This window comes from Homo sapiens, chromosome 17 (assembly GCF_000001405.40).
Source record: "Homo sapiens chromosome 17, GRCh38.p14 Primary Assembly".
Lineage (NCBI taxonomy): Eukaryota > Metazoa > Chordata > Mammalia > Primates > Hominidae > Homo > Homo sapiens.
In genome coordinates this window covers 74238357-74259584 of record NC_000017.11, presented here as the reverse complement: position 1 = coordinate 74259584, position 21228 = coordinate 74238357, and the positions used below count along the sequence as shown (strand labels likewise).

The following is a 21228-nucleotide window of genomic DNA, read 5'->3' as shown; positions in this document are numbered from 1 at the left end:
AAAAACATCCCGATGCCCAGGCCACATCCACTAGTATATAAATATGTATATTTTTGTTGATGCAAAATGCACATAACGGTGGTGATTCATACCTGTAATCCCAGCACTTTAGGAGACAGAGGCAGGAGGATCGTTTGAGCCCAGGAGTTCGAGACCAGCCTGGGCAAAATGGCAAAATCCTGTCTCTATCAAAAATACAAAAAATTAGCTGGGCATGGTGGCATGCACCTGTAGTCCCAGCCACTTGGGAGGCTGAGGCAGGAGGAGAAGGTACTTGAGCCCAAGAGGTGGAGGTTGCAGCAAGCTAAGATCACACCACTGCACTTCACCCTGGGCAACGGAGCGAGACCCTCTCTCTTAAAAAAAAACAAAGACCACACACATAACATAAAATGAATTTAAAGAGCTATCAGTGTTTTTAGAGCTCTTTAGGCAATTCCAGTGTGCATTCAAGTTGGAGGAGCATGACCCAGTACAGAGTAGGTGCCTGACAGAACTTAGTTACTCGTCCTTGGCAGTGGAGAGGGCCTTTCACTCTATACCCTGCACACAGGCTACCTGGGGATCTTGTCCACAGGACCTGAGATTCTGCACTTCTAACAAGCTTCCAGAAACTGCCACTCTCCTGACCCGGGAAGCTTCAGGGGTCCAGGCCATTCACATCAGGGGGAATGGAATGCTTCCACTTGGGCTGGGGTTGGGGAGGAGGGAGCATGAGGTTTTCGACCCAGTGGGTCTCAACCAGGGATGTTTTTACCTCCCAGGGGCATTAGGCAATGTCTGGAGATATTCTGGTTGTCACAACTGGGCACTGGGCTGCCACTGGCATGTAGCAAGTAGATGCCAGGGATGCTGCTAGACGTCCTACAATGTACAGGAACCCCCCACCGAGAATGACGCTGCCCATCAATAGCACTGAGGCTGAAGAAGCTGGCCTCAGAGCAGTGGTTCTCCAAGCGTGGTTTCCAGGGCAGCAGCAGCAGCTTTACCTAGGAATATGTCAGACACGCACATCTCCGGCCAGGCACGGTGGCTCACACCTGTAATCCCAGCACTTTGGGAAGCCGAGACAGGTGGATCACCAGAGCTCAGGAGTTCAAGACCAGCCTGGCCAACATGGTGAAACCCTGTCTCTACTAAAAATACAAAAAGTCAGCTGGGCGTGGTGGTGGGGGCCTGTAATCTCAGCTACTCAGGAGGCTGAGGCAGGAGAATCGCTTGGTCCTGGGGAGCGGAGGTTGCAGTGAGCCGAGATTATGCCACTGCACTCCAGCCTGGGCAACAAGAGTGAAACTCAGTCTCAAAAAAACAAAAAAGGCACATCTCCAGGCTCCAACTCAGATTTTCTGAATCAGAAACAGGGTGGGTCCCTCAGGCGATTCTGATGCATACGCAAGTATGAGACCCTCCTTCTTCTTTTTTATTTTCTTTGAGACAGAATCTCACTCTGTCACCCAGGCTGGAGTGCAGTGGTGCAATCTCAGCTCACTACAACCTCCGCCTCCTGGGTTCAAGTGATTCTCCTGCCTCAGCCTCCCGAGTAGGTGGGATTACAGGCACCCATCACCATGCCCAGCTAATTTTTGTATTTTTAGTAGAGACGGGGTTTCACCATGTTGACCAGGCTGGTCTCGAGCTCCTGGCCTCAAGTGATCCACCTGCCTTGGCCTCCCAAAGTGCTGGGATTACAGGCATGAGGCATGGTGCTGGCCAAGACCCTCCTTCTTAAAGCAATATTTCCCAACTTGAATGATAATAAGTTTGTTAAACTTAGAATCTCCCAGGCTCCTTCCCCAAGATATTCTGTTTCTGTAAGTCTGAAGAGAAGTCTCAACGTCAGTATCTTTAACTGCCCTGGGTCATTTTTGTTCATCAAGTCCAAGAAACAGTGCCTAAAAGGACAGGAGAGATTATTCCTTGAAGGCAGAGCTGGGGGAAGAAACATTTCCAGCAAGGGACAGGCTGTATATCCCGATCACCAGGCGTGACATCACCCACCCAGTGAGGTCCCCTGACTGTCCCAGAGAGGGTGCTCGGCAGAGGGAGGAGTTTATCCACCTCTCGAACTTGCTCGGTGCTAAGGAGTGTTTAGAGCAGGCGCCCCGGGGAGGGTGGGGCGCAGCCAGCTGTGCTGTCTTTACTGGGGCAGACACCCACACCCTCCATGCTGTGGGGTTCCTTGGTCTGCGGCATCATTAGATGTCTCTCTAGGTCCCTTACCGGGCATGGAGGTGGAAGGGTCTTCCCAGGGCAGGCTGGGCTAGGTGGGACTGGGCAGTCAACTTGGCCAAAGCAATAAGTGTTTCTGGGCAGGTCTTAAATCTAGGGAGGAAGGGTTTTCTGTCCTTGAGCCTTGCAAATAAGGTCAGTTGCTGATTATCTCTGCTAACGGCAGGATGAGTGGCCTGGATCTTTCAAACAGAAGGGAATCTGAAAATCATTTTTATTTGGCATCACAGTGCATAGAGTAATTCTTTTTTCACAGCAGATTTCCCCTAATTACGTTGTGCTTAGATTAATATTAAAGTCAATCTGCATTCCTGGGGCCACGGCAGCTGGTGGTTGGAAAAAGGAACCCGGGAGGCTTCTGATTAGTGAGAGAAGCTAGGCTGGCATTTAAAAGGTGCTGACTTTTAGGCTGGGCGTGGTGGCTCATGCCTGTAACCCCAGCACTTTGGGAGGCCAAGGCAGGTGCATCACTTGAGGCCAGGAGTTAGAGACTAGCCTGGCCTGCATGGCGAAACCCCGTCTCTACTGAAAATGCAAAGATTAGCTGGGTGTGATGGCACGTGCCTATAGTCCCAAGTACTTGGGAGGCTGAGGCATGAGAATTGCTTGAACTCAGGAGGTGGAGGATGCAGTGAGCTGAGATTGCACCACGTACTCCAGCCTAGGTCACAGAGTGATACTCTGTCTCAAAAAAATAAACATAAATAATAAATGGTGCTGACTTTGAATACAGGTTCAACCAGCCCACTCCCGGGGACCCCAGGAAGAAAGAACGACATGAGGCTGGGGCTTGTGTTTGTAAAGCTGTGGGATGGGACAGCAGGTGAGGTGCTCCAGGCAAAAGCACCAAGGTGGTGGCACAGGAGTGAATGACAGGGGGATTGGTTCCAGCAGGCTTGCTAGCAGGTAGAGGCCAGGGATGCTGCTGAACATCCCACACGCAGAGGACAGGCCCCATAACCTATGGGCATTTGGGGCTGCACCGTGCTTTGTGGTGGGTGCTCCACTCCCTAGATGTCAATAGCATCCAGCCCCCATCCCCAGCCTCCAAGCGTGGTAATGAAAATGCCTCCAGACATTGCCAAATGTCCCCAGGGGGGAAAACTGCCCCTGGGTGAGCCCCTGCTCTACACTGTGGCTCAAACGCCACCTATTAAATAGAACCTTCTGGAATCCCCTAGAGCAGCAGCAAAGATGGCTCCTTCTTTCTGGTCCCAAAGTACCTTGTAGCACTTTCTACAGGCAGCCTTCTTGAGTGCCCCTTCTATAGACTGGAACTTCCTGAAGACAGGGACTGGGTTCCACTTGCTCTTTTCTCGGGTCTGACACTATGATTTTCACCAAGCGCCATGACCGGGAAGCTGACTCCCTGGGTGCCTGTGCGTGCACTTCCTGGGTCCTCAGGGCCCAGGTCTATCACGCTGGTCCCAGGTATTTGGGCCCCAGTGCTTCTGCTTTCCTGTTGGATGTCCCCTTCCAAACTATCTGGGTCGGGGCACTGAAATGCCTCGCCAGGCCCAATGAAGGGAGATGCCTGGCTCCAGGACCCTTCTGCCCACCCCATGGCAGACTTCTGGCCTTTCATTCCCCTTGTCCTTTCTTATAAATGCCACAGCTCTGGCCGGGCACGGTGGCTCATGCCTGTAATCCCAGCACTTTGGGAGGCCAAGATGGGTGGATCACCTGAGGTCAGGAGTTCAAGACCAGCCAGCCCTGTCTCTGCTAAAAATACAAAAATTAGCCAGGTGTGGTGGTGCATGCCTGTAATCCCAGCTAGTAGGGAGGCTGAGGCAGGAGAATCACTTGAACCTGGGAGGTGGAGGTTGTAGTGAGCTGAGATGACATCACTGCACTCCAGCCTGGGCAGAAGAGTGAGACTCCGTCTCAAAAAAAAATAAAAAATAAAAAATAAAATAAAATTGATAAATGCCACAGCTCTGTGGAGAAGGTGGGGTGGAAGAAAGTCACAAATAACAGCTCACTGTCCTACGGCACTCACTGGATGCTTCGCACGTACGCTCTGATAACAATCAATTTGCCCATTGCACACACCACCGAGGAGGAATGTGCTAGTATTCCCATACTCATTCTATAGATGGGGAAACTGAGGCACAGAGCAGCAAAGTGCTTGTCCAAAGTCACAGAGGCCATAAGCCATGAGCTGGGATTTGAACCCAGGCCTTTGGCACTGGAGTCCGTGTCCCTGAACCTTGGCGGTCACTTCACTGTCTGTTTACAGCTTTCTTTGTCTCAGCCAGTATTTCTGTGTCCTTTGGATACTTCTCTGGGATGAGACAGCATAGTCTTTCCTTCTCAACCTGCCCACCCTGAGCTACTCCCCTGAGGCTGTATCTCAGGTACTCTGGCTGGAGGTGGTGGGGTGGACAAGAGGCACTGGCCCTACTTGGGCACAGTCCTAGGGACATGGGGAGCTGAGACGGATTGAGGAAGGCTGTGTTTGGGTTCAGCCCTCCCAGACCCGCCACCACAGCCAACCCACCGTCCAGCCCAAAAGAGACCAAGGATTAAGGTAAACAGAAATCTAAAAAGAAAAAAAATTCCTTAATTTTCTCTGGAGCAAAAAGGGAAAGAGACCCCCTCTCTTCTTGCAGTATTTCCTTTAGAAAACTTATCATTGTAAATAATTTCTGTCTTTTGAGATGTCTGCAAACCTTCTTAAAGGCTGAATATGGCCCTTGCCAGTGTTACAATCCAGGTATGGTTTTTTCAGGTCTGGGAGCCATCTCTTGGAAGTACAAACATCAGGAAGACAGCACCTCATCTCCTTCTCAGTGACAGTTCACTTAGGGGCCTGGCTCCAAGTTGTAGCTATCTGATTGTCACGGAAATAGGAGTTTTATTTTTCCTCTGGATAAAGGCAATTAGCTGGCCGGGCGCGGTGGCTCATGCCTGTAATCCCAGCACTTTGGGAGGCCGAGGCGGGTGGATCACCTGAGGTCAGAAGTTTGAGACCAGCCTGGCCATCATGGAGAAACCCCATCTCTACTAAAAATACAAAAATTAGCCTGGCGTTGTGGCACGCACCTGTAGTCCCACCTACTTGGGAGGCTGAGGCAGGATAATTGCTTGAAACCTGGGTTGCAGTAAGCCGATATTGCGCCACTGCACCCCAGCCTGGGCAATAGAGTGAGATTCTGCCTCAAAAAATAAATAAATAAATAAATAAAGGCAATTACTTAACCAGGATGGCCACCCCAATTAGCAAGTGGATTAAGGTGGACTACTGTGACAAACAGTGCCGTCAAGTCCTCTTGCTGGATGACAGGTATGCAGTGGGCTGTGTCTTGTTCCTGCCTGGCTAGGGGAAGGAGTGAGATTTCTTGCATCTTTGCAATCTCCTTAGCGGACTGCCTGGGATACCCACGACGGTCTGGTTTAGTGCATATTCAATAACAGAACAGTTTCATTCTTTTCTGCCTTTGTGGACAGGATTCACTGGGTTGGCAGGAGGTTTTGTCTTTATGTATTACCCCAACAAGGAAGGGCCAGAGCCCCAATTACCGTAGGCGGAGGGGAGGCTCTCCCGATTAGTGGCACGTTCTCGTAGCGTGGGTTCCTACCAAAGAGCATGGCTTGGTTCCTGCGGGGATGAGAGGAGAGCTCAGGAGGGGATGGTGTGGGAGTGGGGGTGTGTGTAGATTTCTACAGGAGGGTCCCATGGGTGAGCACATGGGAGGTGGGGGATGGAACCAAACCACAGATAGAGTGGAGGGGGTGCAGTGGGCAGATATGGAGAAGAGCACCTTGGGAAGCCTGGGGACAAGTGGCTGATGGGCAACGGAGGCTGGGAGCAGCATGGCCTGGAGAAATGCAGCTTTTTGGGCCTGAGACCTGTCCCACCAGCTTGTGGCAGAGGCTGCTGACATCAGTGGTTTCTTCCCCCAGCACATGTGGGTGTGGAGGGGTGACTAGATGCTCCCCGGGGGCCTTCCCTCCAGGCACCCTGTGGCTGTAGTGGGGACCACGGGTGGCCTTGGATGCCTTCCTCCCCACACCCGGCACTGTGGACCCCACCCAACATGCTGTCCGGGCAGTGCTACCCAGCCTGGGTGTGTGTGCAGGCCGTACATGTACTCGGAGACAGGGGCGTTGGAGATGGTCTGGGCCGGGGGCTGCAGGCTGGTCTGACTTCCCAGGCCACTGCTGTAGCTGCAGAAGCTGTGAAGCTGTCCCCTCGGGGGACTGTGAGCCGCCATGCGCCAGGCTTGGGGGTTAAAGGGGTCATCATCATCAATGTCATCGTAGTCTCTGTTTCTAGAACAATGGGTAGAAGATGGCCGGCTGTGAAGGGTGAAGGAGGCTCCGAGGCAGCCAGGTCCTGTCCTACTTCCCTGCCTTTCCTCCCAGGACTCTCTGGCCACGCGTGTCTCCTTGAGACTCCTCTAAAACGCGGTCCCCAGCCTGCCTCCTGCAGATCATTCTGGCCCATTCCCAGCTTCACGACCAGCTCTTCCAGGCTCCCCACCACGCTGACCATGCGCATGTGGGTCCCCACTACCCTGCGTCCTCTTGCCTAATCCGCTCACCAGGTGCCTGTACACCATGTGTCCCTGCCCATCTCCTCAAGGGGACTGCAGGCTCCCTGAAAACAGTGACCCCATGTATCCTTCTTGCTATTCCTGGGGCACCCCTCCCAGCACCAAGAACTCTCCTCATTCCAGATCGCAAAGTCCTGGTGAGAAGAGAGGAGAAGGGAGGCCAGACTGTGGCCTGAGGGCTGTCACCACCCTGGGCCCCAGCTCTTGCTCTGGGCCCCACCGAACTCCTTTGGAGGGTCTGTGTGGACTCTTGGGGAAGCTTCTGTAGAAGTCAGCCAGCCTGTTGGGCTGAATGCCCGGGCCCTCTGCTGCCCTCCTCAGTCCTGGGTTATCAGCTAAATCGTAGAGCAGAGGCCCCTGTCTGCTGCTCTCCCAGAACTCCAGGCTGTGGGAGGCTCCCCTCCTTACTAGGCAGCCCACCTGGTGGTGAAGTGCTTCCAGGCCCTTGGCCCTGCACAGATCATGGTGGAGAAGGCGAGGGCGGCCAGGAAGGAGAAGAGGCCAAGGTACAGCAAGCCCTGGAGGCCGTCGTAGCAGATGCCAGCAAGAGCGTCCAGATAATCCTGGAGGAAGAGGAGGGACATGCAGCTAGTGAAGGAGCGGGGGCAAAGCCTGCGGGCCGAGCTCTCCTCTGGAAGTCCCTCTCCCCCGAGCCTGGACCTGGGGTCTCCTGGCTGCTCCCCATCCCGAGCGCCTTGCAGCACCATTAAAGGTCCACACTCTGGAGCCTAACACAATGGGGCTTCTTGGGTTCACGCTGGAAACATTTGCTGAGCACTTACTGTGAGCTGGGCACTAAGAAGCTGGCTCTGAACAGGGCGGAGGAGGTTGCAGGGTGGGGAACCAGAGACGGGGGCACTGAAGCTGAGGCCAGGATGGCAAGAAGCAGCACACCTTGAGAAGAGGGGGCAAAGGGGACAGGCTTGGCCTGTTCAGGAAAGAGAGAGAACATAGGCCAGCAGGGGCTGGGTCGTGCTGGGCCTTGCAATGCGGGAGAGGAGTACGGACTTTTAAAAGGAGTCAGAAAGACATTGGAGGGTGTGGGAGTGGAAGGGATGTGATCCAACCTAGTCTGCAAAAGGACTGCTCTGGTTGCATGTGTGAAAGCTCATGGGTGGTGAGGGGGCAAGAGAAAGTGGGAAGAGGCCACTGTCTGCTGGAGGGGCAGGACCGGATCGTGGTGGAAGCCATGGAGAGAAAGAGAAATGGATGGATTCAGGGTACAGCTGAGAGGAGAGCTGCCAAGACTTGCTGGGGATTAGATGTAGAAGGGGAAGAAGAGAGGAGACAGGGGTGACTGCCATGTTCTTAGCTCTGAGGTCAGACTACCAGGATCTAAACCCAAGCCCCTGATGTGCCAACTCGGGACTCTTCAGTAAGCCACTTTATAAATACACGCACACACACCCCCCACACACATGCACCCCCCACATGCACACACACATGCACCACACACACCACATACATGTGCACACATGTGCACACAACACACATGCACACACACCACACACATCACAGACATGCACACACCACACACACGCACACACCACACACCCCACACACACATACAGGCACATACACATGCACCACACACACGCATGCACAGCACACATGCGCACAAGCATGCACATACCACACACATACATACACACATCACATATGTGCACCCACACAACCGCAGAAACACACCACACACGCACAGACATATACACCACAAGTGCACACACACGCACACACACACAGACACACGCACGTGCACACACACATAGCTGTATCTATGGATCTATCCATACACACGCACAAGCAAGTCAATTTCCTAGGAAATAACGTGTGGTTCACAGTATAACTGTGAGAACTGAATGACATACTGGATATAAAATGCACAGAACAGGGCCAAGCATGGAGCTGACAGCTGTGATGATGACAAAGACTGTCTGCACTAAATCCATCTGGGATGTGAAAGCTGTCGCCATACACTGGCTCACTGCTTTTGGGTGGGGGGCTCTCACGTGCTCCCCATGTGTTCCCTGCATCATTGTGTCTGTCTGATATTCCAAGTTCCTGGAAAGAAGACTCTGGCAATGGGATTGGGACATCCACTTGCAACCCAGGGAGACAGATGTGTTGAGGAAATGGCTAGGAGTCTGGACAATGGGGAACAGCCTCCCTTGCATTGTTCAGGGTCCCCCAGTGACCCAGAGCCAACCGCATCCAACCCTCCCATCCCGAACCCCTGGTCCCTTGTACTGAGTCTCCCTGTCTCAGCCCCTGGAGAAGCCAGGCACCCCCTCCCTTCCCATTATCTGGCTTCAGTTCCATTCCTGGGCCGGAAGGGGACCCAGGCCATCGCTCCCCTCGGCCTCTACCGGCTTTTCTCTGGAAGGTGTGGCCTGCTGGGTGCCCTCACACTCTCCACGTGACCCCAGGGTCCCCATGCACCTTGTGCAGCCCTCGGCAGTCCACCATGGCGGTCAGCTGGTGAAGGCTGGACTCTGAGGAGTTCAGCAGGAGCTGGATTGCAAGCAGGTCTTCCTGAAGCGGGAAGAGAGCGAGAGAGGCCGAGGGGCTGTGGAGGAGAGCTGGCGGAGAAAACCACCACAGCAGCTGTGCTCAGGGGCCTCTAGAGCCAAGGGAGGGAGCCGAGTCACGGGGGCGGGAGAACAGAGAGCCAGCAGCAAGCTGTGCACAGCCTGGCCCTGGGGCCGGGGCAGGGGAAAGGGCTGTCAGGGTTCATCTGGGGCTCCCCTCTTCCTGCACAGCTGCCTTACCTCTGCAGTGGAGAAGAGGGGCACGGCAAACTGCAGCAGCCCCGCGACCTGGATCTGCATGGTGGTAAGTGCGCGCTGGAAGGTGGTCAGGGTCTGAGCCAGGAAAGACACAGCCCCACAGTGAGGCTCCGTCTCCCAGGAGCCCCACAGTGAGGCTCCGTCTCCCAGGAGCCCCACAGTGGCTGAGGGGCCTATGCTCCTGCCCCTCCCACCCCCCCACCTGGCTGCAGCTGCACAGGCCCCTCCACTTGCAGGAAGTCTCCCCCTACTCCTCTGGCTTCTTGAGAGCTGCACAGTCTTCTCCCTGCTTGCAGCTCAGATGTGGTCTTTGGACCAGCAGCCCTGGCCTCACCTGGGAGCTTGTGAGTAGTACAGAATCTCGGCCCCACCCCAGAGCTCCTGGACAGCATCTGCATGGGAACTAGCTCCCGCATTGAGCTGCATATGTGTTAACCACCAATCTAGAACCCACGACCAAAAGCACGCCCCCCTCACAGAAGCAGCTAAGGAGAGGACCACAGTGAGGCAAGCAAGGCCCTGCCACCTCCGCCATCTTGGTCAGTGGTGAGGCTTAGGGTCAAGGGGGAGCGGCTGTGGGCAGGGTGAGGGCAGGCCTCGGGGGGCCATACCTGCTGGAAGGGGCTGCTTCCACTCTGGCTGCAATACAGGTAGTAGCGAGTCACCTCTGCAGGGCAACGGCATAACGTTAGGCAGCTCACAAATGACCAGATGAGATCTCTATCATCCTTGGTGGCCAAGCCAGACCTCCCTCCCCGTCCCTGAGCTCCCAAGGGAGGCACTTTCTAGGAAATGGCCTAGAGCATGAGCTGGACTTGAAGTTCAGGGTTGAGGAGGGGTTGGATGGCTACAGGGCTGAAAGAGGTAAGTAGGGGCACAGAGTCCGGCCACCTATGCATCCACAGCAGCAGCCTGAGAGTGTGTAGTTACCTGTGCTGATCTGGCCCTCCGTGACGTTCAGGATGAAGGTGTCAGGAGCCACACAGAAGTCACTGGTGGCCTGAGTGAGGGAGAGAGGGACGGGGTGGAGGAAAATCAGGTATCAGGACAGCGGGGCCCTGGGAGGAGCCGGGAGCCCATCACCCCAGCCCCTTGAGCTCCCTCCCAGGTGGCAAAGGACAGTCTGGAGCCAGCCTCCTGGGTTCAAACCTGGCTCTGCCCCTTCCTAGCTCTGTTGCCTTGGACAAGTTACTTATTCTTCCTGTGCCCCGGTTGCCTCATCTGTGACATGGAGATGATAATGCTATTCACCCAATGCAAGTAAAGTGCTCAGAAAAGTGACTGGGGCAGAGCGCATGCTGTTACTCTTATTCCCGAATGCCTCTTCTGGGACAGACCTTTGGGGGCCAGCATCCTGGGCCCCAGGGCAGCTGCAGGCTGTGTGTGTGGGAGTTCGTTACACCATGGCCTCATCTGCTGTTTTACATTTTGTCTTGCTATGATCAAGTGCTACAGGGACGGGTGTTCAATCTATGAAGCCTCCCCCAAACTCTTTCTAAAGAATGAGGTTGGTGCTGAAGCATCTGTGAGCCTTGGGTGCAGGTGCTCACCTGCCAAGACATGGGGTGGGAAGGGCATGGAGCTGAGAGGCGGCTGCCACTTATGAGCTGGAGGACCTGGCCCCACAGCACGGCCTGGCTAAGTGATTGCTAAGGCCCATGCGGCAGGGTGGGAGCAGACGCAGGCCCCAGGAGAGGCGGCAGCAAGGACATGGCCTCCAAGCCAGGCGCACCCCAGATCTGGCCTGGGGTGCTCTAGGGACTGGATAAACTGGGGGGCCTCCGCCTTCCAGAGCAGCCAGGGAGAGCTCAGGTCCTCTGGCCTGTTCCTTAGGGATGTCCCCCTCCTCTGGCACATGCTCCCCGGGCAGGGGACCCCTCTGAGTGCCCTGCTCTGCCGGTGGCCCCGTCCTCCTTCAGGAGCCACTGCCTCAGGGGTCCACAATAGAGCATCACTCACTAACTTGCTAAGTTGATAGACATTTATGGAGTACTTACTCAGTGCCGTGCAGGGTTCTAGCACCTAGAGGTTAGTGCATCACAGCACTTACGGTCTAGAAAATGTGTGTATAGCGAGGGTGCGGAATAACACACCCCTCCAGATACAGAGCTTCCCGAGAGCCCCACATGCACGCACGCGCACACACACACACACGCATGCACGCACGCACGCACGCACTTAAGACCCTGGGAGAAATGCTTTATACACAAACCACCAGCATTCATAATACATCAACCTGGCCTATTATTACCTATCAGAGCTGCGGCGCCAGCAGGCCTGGTGGTGTGCCCCCACCCCCTGGCTGGAGTGACAGAGAGTGCAGCCAGGCCCAAGTGGAGGATGGGGAAGCCTTGGGGAAATAAAGAGCGAGGCCACCATCTCAGTTTGGGTCACCCCCAAGAAGTTTGGGAACCAAGAAAGGAGAGGGACAGGAGGCTCCAGTCCAAGGCTCCACAGTGACATGGTCTTCCTCCTGCCTCTCTCCTCCTTCCCCTCCCAGGCCAGGCCTGCTCTTCACACCCCTTGGCCACCCTGGAGCCTCCATCTCCTGGGATAGGTGCATAGGATGGTTTGGGGTGTGGGACTCAGTGAGGAGTCAACTCTCCTATTAATGAAGACAAGCACCTGTGTGCGTGTGCATGTATGTGTGTGATGCCCTTGTGTGTGTGCATGTCGAAATGGTCCACCCAGATCTCATCTTGAATTCCCACATGTTATGGGAGGGACCTGGTGGGAGGTAACTGAGTCACGGGGGCAAGTCTTTCTCACGCTGTTCTTTTGATAATGAATAAGTCTCACAAGACCTGATTTTTTTTTTTTTTTTTTTTTGAGACAGAGTCTCACTCTGTCGCCCAGGCTGGAGTGCAGTGGCGTGATCTTGGCTCACTGCAACGTCCACCTCCCGGGTTCAAGCAATCCTCCTGCCTCAGTCTCCCGAGTAGCTGAGATTATAGGAATGCACCACTATGCCTGGCTAATTTTGTATTTTTACTAGAGATGGGGTTCTGGCATGTTGGTCAGGCTGGTTTTGAACTCCTGACCTCAGGTGATCCCCCTGCCTCAGCCTCCCAAAGTGCTGGGATTACAGGTGTGAGCCACCACACCTGGCAGATCTGATGGTTTTAAAAACAGGAGTTTCCCTGCATACGTCCTCTCTCTTTGCCTGCTGCCATCCATGTAAGACGTGACTTGCTCCTCCTTGCCTTCCACCATGATTGTGGGGCTTCCTCAGCCATGTGGAACTGTGAGTCCAATCAAACCTCTTTCTTTTGTAAATTGCCCAGTCTTGGGTATGTCTTTATCAGCAGTGTGAAAATGGACTAATACACGTGTGCATTACTCATGCCATGGTGATAGGGATGGCAGGAGAGGGGACAGGAAGGAGGTCACTGAGCATAGTTGGGGCAGGTGGGAGAGGCTGCCCAGTAACCAGCCCAGGTGATGGCTGAGCCTGCAGGCAGCTCCTGAGAATGGAGGTGTGGGTCTGAAGGGACCCCCGTGACCCTAGCATGATGACGATGAATGCACAGGAAGCCAGTGGTGGCCACTGTTTATTGGACATTTTCTGTGTGCCTCCCAGGATGAACCCACTCATCTTTCCCTAGCAACAGCCCTTTGAGGTAAGTCCTGTTATTCTCTGTGTTCACCTAGGAGGAAGCTGAGGCACAGAAAACCTCAGGAACTTTCCTGGGTTTCCACTGCTGGGAAGGGGTGAAGGGAGGATGTGGGCCCAGACAGGGTGGCTGCAGAGGCCACACTCCCACCCTCTGACTCAGGGGCAGGCCTGGCTGCCCCTTAGCTGGAGGAATCCCCTGAAGTTCTCTGTCCCCAGGCTCGGTGGCCAAAGCACTTGTGACAGCCATTGCCTCCTCCCTCACAGCTGAACCCATTTCCTTCCCCTTCCTTCTTCCAGGGCTTCCCAGCCTCTCTGCCTGCTCTAGCCCCTCACCCCAGACACCTCCTGACTCGCAGTGCTGACCACGAGGGGTGGCCCCAGGGCCTGGAAGCTTGGAGCTCCGCTGCTCCCTCCTCTCCCTGCCTCACCCAGAGCAGATCTCCAGGGCAGTGCTCTGTCCTCATGGAGTCCTTTCTAGGGACAGGGAGGGGTAGGGGTCGGGGGTGGGGAAGGGAGGCCTTGTCAATCCTCTGGCCCCATGGCTGTCAAAACAGGCCTCAGAGAGCAGGGTGGCATTGGGAGGCCACACAAAAGCTCTCCACAACAACCCCGGGACAGCCGGCCGCCCTCCCCGCCCTCCTGGCTCCTCCTCACCCGGCTTCCTATTAAAATGCAGCAGCATCTCCAGCCCGTCAAAAGCCCATTCAGCTCCACCGCCTGCTCCCCATCTCGCACTCAGGGGCCTGACTAGAGGAATTAGGGAAATGGCCTTTCTCCCCAGCTCCCCGCATTCCAGGGCGCCCAGCTGGGAGATTAAATGGCCTCTGGTTTTCGTGAACACTGAAGCCTGGTGAGAGGGAGGAGCCCCCACTGGGAGGGGCGGCCACCACAGGGCAGCTCACAGCGGCAAGCTGGAAGCCACCGCTGCCTCCAGAAGGCAGAGGCTGCCCAGAAAGCGGGATGGGGCCCTGGAGGAGTTCGCCGTGTGCTCCCTGCAGCTTCCCTGTGCGTGGCCCTGGCCCCAGAGGAGAGGCTGGAGGCCAGGCAGCTGCCTGCATCACCCTGGCCAGCAGTGGCACTGTTTACAGCCGTCCCAGCTCCTGCATGCTTTCAAACATGACTTGGGCCTTTTCTCGACCATTCCTTGGTCCGTGGTCACTGCACTGGGGTGGCAGGAGGCAAAGACAGAAAATGCCCCCTCTTCTCCCTTCTGCACAAGCCTCTGCCTAAGGTGCTAAGTCAGGCAGTGCCAGAGTCCCTGAGGGCATTGTGTCCACGCCCAGAGCTAGTGGCCAGCCCCCAAGTCACTGGACGAGGTGTGAGTGTGGTTAGGGAGCTTCTTGTACAAGCCACCCCCATCTTATCCTATCAAGCCTCAGGTCACTATGGCAGAACAGATGCATGTCCCAGGGTTAGTCTGTGGACTTTGAATCAGTGAGGGGTTCCTTGAATTCCCCTGGTAAACTGTGTTCTCTTCTATCACGTGCATGTGCATGAACACACACACACAAACACACACACACACACACACACACACACTGCACCTCCACTGTATCAAAGCCTGGGGTTGCAGTGATCTGCCTATGAGTCTTGCTTCCAAAGGCTGGAACTTTGTCAACAGCAAACATCACGTCCTCTTGGCTTCCGCAACCCCAGGCAACTTGTACCATCGAGTGCCACCCAGCAAACAATGTCAGCTGAGTGAATGAACAGCCTCATGCACACAGCTTAGCGCCAGTGTTAGGTCCTTTAAAGATCATGTGGACCCGCATAGGAAGCCCCCAACTTTTTTTTTTTAAGCCATTTTGAGACATCACATCCAGAAACATACAGCATGTGTGCTTCAGACCGCGGGAGTCCTGGGACATTGGGATGGAAGGCAAGTCAGACACCACATTCTACAGTCCCAGGGCCTGGGGAGCTGGCAAAGCAGCAGCTTCTGATGCGGGAGGGATTCCCCAGTCTGAGGCTTGGACCCCTACCCATTCTCAGGAGACCCGGTCAGTTCTTCACACCCAGAGAGAAGCGCCCTGGTCACCCAGGCACGCCTAAGCCTAAGCACGTGTAAGCCTAAGCATGCCTGGGCAGCCGGGGGCTTCTCTCTGGGTATGAAGCATGAGTGTCTTATCCTGGCTCTGACCCTGGGCAGTCCCCTTCCTTTCTCTGGGCCTGTTTCCCCATCTGTAACGAGAGGGGCCGGTTCAGATGACGCAAGTCCCTTTGGTTCTGAGATTCTGGGATTCTAGGTTAGGAGCTGGGACCGGAAGCTGGCCCTGCTTGGAGACACACCAGAGTGTCCTGGCAGACCAACCACCACCCACCACCCACTCCCTCCCCCAACTCACCACTGCCGCAGAGCCATCAGCGGCCAGGGATGCCCAACTGAGGAGCAGGCTCAGTGCCCCACAGCACAGCATCCTAGGAGAGAGGCAGGCGACAACGTTGGCAGGCGGGGTCCCCTTCCTCTCAGCCATCACCCCACCCACCCTGCCCCCAGACCCTTGCAATGGATCCAAAGGCAGCCTCAGTCCCTGCCCTGACGTGGGCCCTGCTCACTACTAGGAAAGGACCATGGAGCCCAGGTCCTTGAGGCTAAAGAGACCCAGGCGTGAGAGCACAGGCTAAGGGGGCAGTGTTGGCTAAGACGGCCAGAGGCTTTCATGCACGGACCCATGTTTCTTAGCTGCTCAACAGAGTCAGGCCCAGAGAAGGAGGAAAGCCTAATGCTTGCTCGTTTGGTGACCAGATGGTGAGTTGGTGGCTGCTGTCTGTCTCCTCTGCTGAGTGCTGAGGACGGGGCAGAAGGTGGCCTCAGGCAGCCTGGCTATTTTCCCCACACTCTGGAGCTGGCCAGGCCCTCGTCTCTCTCTGATGATGGCATCCTGCCCAGCTCTTTGTCCCAGGTCCACGGGTAGGGATACTCACGAGGCCAGGAGACACTTGGAGCGCTTGGCCAGTCCCAGGCAGGCAATGAGGCAGATGACCAGGTCCAGGATAAAGAGCAGGAGGTAGGAGAGCCACCTGGGTAGAGGGGCAGGGATGGTCAGGAGCAGCAGGGTGGAACTTCTGACCTGCTGGCCACGTGAGAGGCCTGCACGGCAGCCCTGGGACACACTGGACCCTCTACTATGGACATGCTGCCCAGAGCCAGCAAGCACCCAGCATGCGTGGGCTGAAGCCTCGGGAGCTGCACCCCCACTGCTGCCTGGACAAAGCTGTCAATTCACACCCCCTGCCTTCACCTCTAGGCTGAGTGTCAAAACCAGCACTGTGCACTAGAACTTTCCCCAGTGGAGGAGCTGTTCTAAATCCCTGCTGTCCACTCTCTTCTTTGCCACTACCCACAGGTGGCTACCGAGAACTTGAAATATGGCTTGTGCAACTGAAGAAATACATTTTAAACTTTACTTAATTTTAATTAATTTCAATAGCCACACATGGCTGGGGCTACCACCCTGGACAGCACAGCTCTGAAGTGTCTTTCTGCGGCCTCCCAGCAGGCATCGCCTAGGACCCTGCTTCCCTTTGCTTCTAGAACTCTCAGACAGCATCAGACCAGCCAAGGCCTGATGTTTATAGCCACAGATCTAACACAGCCCCTAAGGTGCCTGCCTCTTTGACAAACACTCAGCCTGGCTCCCCAAGGCCTCCCATCTTGCCCCCTTGCTGGATGGGATCCATAACTTAAGACTTTTAGGTTCAGGACAGGCGCAGTGGCTCACGCCTGTAATCCCAGCACTTTGGGAGGCCAAGACGGGCAGATCACTTGAGGCCAGGAGTTCGAGACCAGCCTGGCCAACGTGGTGAAACCTCATCTCTACAAAATATACAAAAATTAGCCAGGTGTGGTGGCGGGCACCTGTAGTCCCAGCTACTCGGGAGGCTGATGCAGGAGAATCACTTGAAACCAGGAGGCAGAGGTTGCAGTGAGCTGAGATGGCGCCATTGCACTCCAGCCTGGGCCACAGAGTGAGACTCCATCTCAAAAACAACAACAACAAAAAACTTCAGGTTCATTTTTAAACAACATTTGTGCCAGGCACTGAGCTTGGCACCAGGGATACCCAGGTGAGTGGGCTCGTTTCTGACCATCAGAGGGCTCAGTGTGGAACCCGGGAGTCCAGGTCAGGGTACCTACAGCCCTGCAGACCTCCAGCCTCCTCCAAGCCCTTCATTCCTCTGGCCTTTTTGTCCCCAGGGCTGGACTGATGGGGAAAGGCAGTCACACCCCAGCTGGGAGACCTTGGTAAGCCACTTCACCCCTTGAGACCTTGGTTTCCATATCTGTAGAGGGAGCTGGAACCCCTCATCTCACAGGGCCAGAGGAAGGATTAAGTGCTTGCTAAATATAAAGGTTGATGGGGCAAGGCAGCCAAGGACTTCAAAGGCCCTGCCCTCCTGCTTCTCCAGAGAACAGGCTGAAGAATCAAAGTATCTTAAGCCAACGGACACTGAGAAGACCCCAAACAAAGTGCCCTCGTTCCTTTCCCTTCCACACAGGTCCCCAAGGTGGTCCTCACAAGGCCCAGTGGTCTCCCCTGGCAGCCATGCCCTTTACCCTGTGCTGGGCACCAGCGGGAGAGTGGACAGAGGAGGGGCGGGCACAGAGACAGGGGCTTCCCCGTCCCCAAAGAGGGAAGTATTTGGATCATTATTTCTCTTGCTGCAAGAGCCAAGTAAAGTCGCTGACCTCTCCTCTCCAGCAATGGTTTTCTGCTTCACTGACATCATAAAGGGGAAGACGGAGTTTGGAGCGTGGGCAGGGAGTGCCCTGGAGCTGGCAGAAAGTGGCAAAGAGGCTCCGAGGGAGAGAGGGGAGGGAGCAAGCTGGAGGCCTGGCAGCCAAGGGAGGTTCTTTCTGACTCCCCGAATTGAGGCTTACTGCCAAAAGAAGGGGACTAATCAAAGTCCTTGTCTCTGCACGAGCAGGGGGCAGCACACACTAGGTCTCTGGGGTTCCCCGGAATGGAGCCGGGGGCTTTGGGGAGTGGGCAGAGCCTGCTGCCACCAAGAAGCCAGTTTCCTTAGACTTAGCTCAGAGCTGGAAGGAACCTCGCAAACCATCTAGTGTTTGGATCACATTCTTATTTTTACACGCACACACACACACACACACACACACACACACACACGTATTATAAATACCGGGTCTGTCTATGTTGTCCAGGCTGGTCTCAAACTCCTGGACTCAAGAGATCCTCCTGCCTCAGCCTCCCAAAGTGCTGGGATCATAGGTGTGAGCTGGATCCCATTCTACAGATTAGTACAGATTAGAAAGCCAAGGCCCCTGGTGGGGAGAGCCTGGCCCAGAAATTCCACATTGTCTACATCAAGCTTCCTGCAAGGGACACAGCCAGCTACAGGGCACCTCTCGAAATACCCAGTTCATGTTTCAAACTTAAAGATTTCTTCTCACCACTCGCCTCCGCTCTGCAGAGCAGCAGGAAATCCAGTTAGGGGTGCTTCTAACCCACTCTCTGTGGCTGTGATTCAATGTATTTTCCCTGCCTCCACGCCTCATGTTGTCAGGGGTTCCTGGAAACATCTCCTCTAGGCGGATGTGTTTTCCCAGAGGAGCTGGGCGAGGACTGGGGGATGTATTCCTAACCAAGAACTCGGCTCTGCCTGCCAGAGCCACTCCCACCCCGGCTCCCTCTTCCCTCAACCGTAGCCTCTCAAAGAGAGGAGCCCCTTGGCTTTTTATCTCCTCCAATACTTCGCCCCGCCTTGTATAAAAATGCTAGGAAATATCTGCTTTGCTGCATGGTTATGCTCAAGGACTATCCCAAAAGCAAAGACAGGGGCCCTTCAGGGGAGGGCTTTTTTTGCAGAGCAGCTCAGGTGAGAGGAGAAGCCACAGATGGAAGCAAAGACAGGAGAAGGGGTAGAATATCACTGATGTTCAGGCGCCATAGGTGCCAACCTTGGACTAGACCTCTGCTTTTTTTTTTTTTTTGAGACAGAGTCTCACTCTATTGCCCTGACTGGAGTGCAGTGGCGCAATCTCGGCTCACTGCAGCCTCCGCTTCCTGGGTTCAAGCAATTTTCCTGCCTCAGCCTCCCAAGTAGCTGGGACTACAGGCGTGCGCCACCACGTCCAGCTAATTTTTGTATTTTTAGTAGAGATGAGGTTTCTCCATGTTGCCCAGGCTGGTCTCGAATTACTGGCCTCAGGTGATCCACCCACCTCAGCCTCCCAAAGTGCTGGGATTACAGCATGAGCCAAACCTCTTCTGCCTCAACCCGAATAAGCAGTGGGGAGTTGGGGATGGACTCACAGGGGGTCCTGTCAATCACCCACGCTGAAATAGCTGATGTGCAGTTGACACCATCCTTCCACTATTTTAATACCATCGCCTTAACAATAAGCCGCCTTTGATATGTAAATTCTGACTTAATTCCATCAGTGTCATTAACAAAATGCCCACATGAGGCCCTTAAACATACACAGTCCTCTGCTAGGTGTGCTCAGAGAAGAGTGACGTTAAAATGGGTCCTGCCCCTGCCTGACATAAGATTTCGAAGGCTCAGGCAATGAATGGCCCATGCATCAGGAGAATCATCAGACACCCCTGTTTTGGGGCCACAGGAGGTCACAGACAGTCCTTAGAGCTGGCAGTTTCCTTCTGTCCCTTGGGAGGGAGGCTCTTTTGCCCATGAGCATCCATCTGCTGGGGAGTGGGGCCAAGGTCCCTTCAATCCAGAGCATCCAGGACATGGCGGAGATGCAGGGACTGGACGGGCTGGGGAGGCAAGGTGTGGGGAGGACCCCCAGAGCTGGGGACTTCATGAGCTCCCTCTGCTCAGGGACCTGCCACCTCCTATTTTTGGGAAGGGGAGAGGCCCCTGGACTCAGTCCAGCAGTGACCTCCTGGAGTGGGGCTTTATGACACAAGGGGACACAAATCCAGAAAACAGAAGTAAGTTGTGCAACCCTGAGCTAAAGGCTCTGACGTTCATCAATGGCTTGAAGAGGAGCCAACAAATGGAGGGTGCGGGGAGGGATCCAAAGAACTGACACTCGCTCCTCCTGACTCATGCTTCCCCTCCCCACGTGCCTCCTCCATGCTAGGCCCGGGCCCTGGGAGCACAAGCCCAGGCCATCATTCAGCCGGGAGCCCTCCAAAGGCTGGGGCTGCTGCCTCCTTCCTGTGCTTTCCACGGAGCAAACTTCGCTGGACCCTGCACCTGGAGAGGGGCAGCAGGTCCCTGCTCCGCCGATTGTGTCCAGTGCCTCTGGCTAGGCTGGGATTTGGCAAATGGGGAGGCAGGGGAGATGTAAACAAAGCCCCAGAGGTCAGATGACACGGGCATGAGTTTGTACACCTAAGTGAGGGTGGTGCCCCTCAGTCCCCATCACTCAGGTTCTACATAAGTGAGGCTGGTCTGGGCATGGTGGCTCATGTCTGTAATCCTTGGACTTTGGGAGGCTGAGGTGGGAGGATTGCTTGAGGCCAGGAGTTTGAGACCAGCCTGGGCAACAAAGCAAGACCCCTATTTCTAAAAAAAAATTTTTTTTTTTTTTTTGAGATGGAGTTTCCCTCTTGTTGCTGAGGCTGGAGTGTGATGGCATGATCTTGGCTCACTGCAACCTCCACCTCCTGGGTTCAAGCAATTCTGCTGCCTCAGCCTCCCAAGTAGCTGGGATTACAGGCATGCGCCACCACGCCCAGCTAATTTTGTATTTTTTAGTAGAGACAGGGTTTCTCCATGTTGGTCAGGCTGGTCTCGGACTCCCGACCTCAGGCGATCTGCCTGCCTTGGCCTCCCAAAGTGCTGGGATTATAGGTGTGAGCCACCAGTCCCAGCTGCAAAAAAAAATTTTTTTAAACTAGCCAGGTGTGGTTGTATGCCTGTAGTCCCAGCTACTCAGGAGGCTGAGGCGGGAGGATCACTTGAGCCCAGGAGTTCAAGGCTACAATGAGCCATGATCACACCACTGCACTCCAGCCTGGGTGACAGAGTGAGATACTGTCTTAAAAAGAAAGAAAAAAAAAGTGAGTCTGGGGACACAGCCTCATTCCTCCCTTGTGCCTCC

The 21228-nt window shown here is 54.9% G+C and overlaps 1 protein-coding gene across 3 annotated transcripts in view, besides 1 other annotated feature; it reads right to left on the bottom strand.

Moving 5' to 3' along the window:
- Positions 1 to 21228, bottom strand: part of TTYH2 (tweety family member 2) — a 48450-nt gene that overhangs the window by 2436 nt on the left and 24786 nt on the right. For 2 of the 3 annotated variants that reach the window (NM_032646.6, NM_001330453.2), the window contains exons 5-13: positions 16116 to 16211; positions 15536 to 15608; positions 10505 to 10574; positions 10186 to 10241; positions 9557 to 9649; positions 9228 to 9320; positions 7209 to 7351; positions 6319 to 6504; positions 5752 to 5830 (exon numbers count right to left, since the gene is read on the bottom strand). In NM_032646.6, the coding sequence (NP_116035.5) occupies positions 5752 to 5830; positions 6319 to 6504; positions 7209 to 7351; positions 9228 to 9320; positions 9557 to 9649; positions 10186 to 10241; positions 10505 to 10574; positions 15536 to 15608; positions 16116 to 16211 (889 nt within the window). Of the gene's footprint in view, positions 1 to 5751; positions 5831 to 6318; positions 6505 to 7208; positions 7352 to 9227; positions 9321 to 9556; positions 9650 to 10185; positions 10242 to 10504; positions 11220 to 15535; positions 15609 to 16115; positions 16212 to 21228 lie in introns of those variants that run through there. The other variant, NM_052869.1, reaches the window with a different exon arrangement.
- Positions 13809 to 14703: an enhancer, noted in NCBI's record as "OCT4-NANOG-H3K27ac-H3K4me1 hESC enhancer chr17:72241021-72241915 (GRCh37/hg19 assembly coordinates)". NCBI's record gives its function as "activates a minimal SCP1, AML or CMV promoter by ChIP-STARR-seq in naive H9 embryonic stem cells {active_cell/tissue: H9 hESC(naive)}" and the evidence as "EXISTENCE:reporter gene assay evidence [ECO:0000049][PMID:30033119]".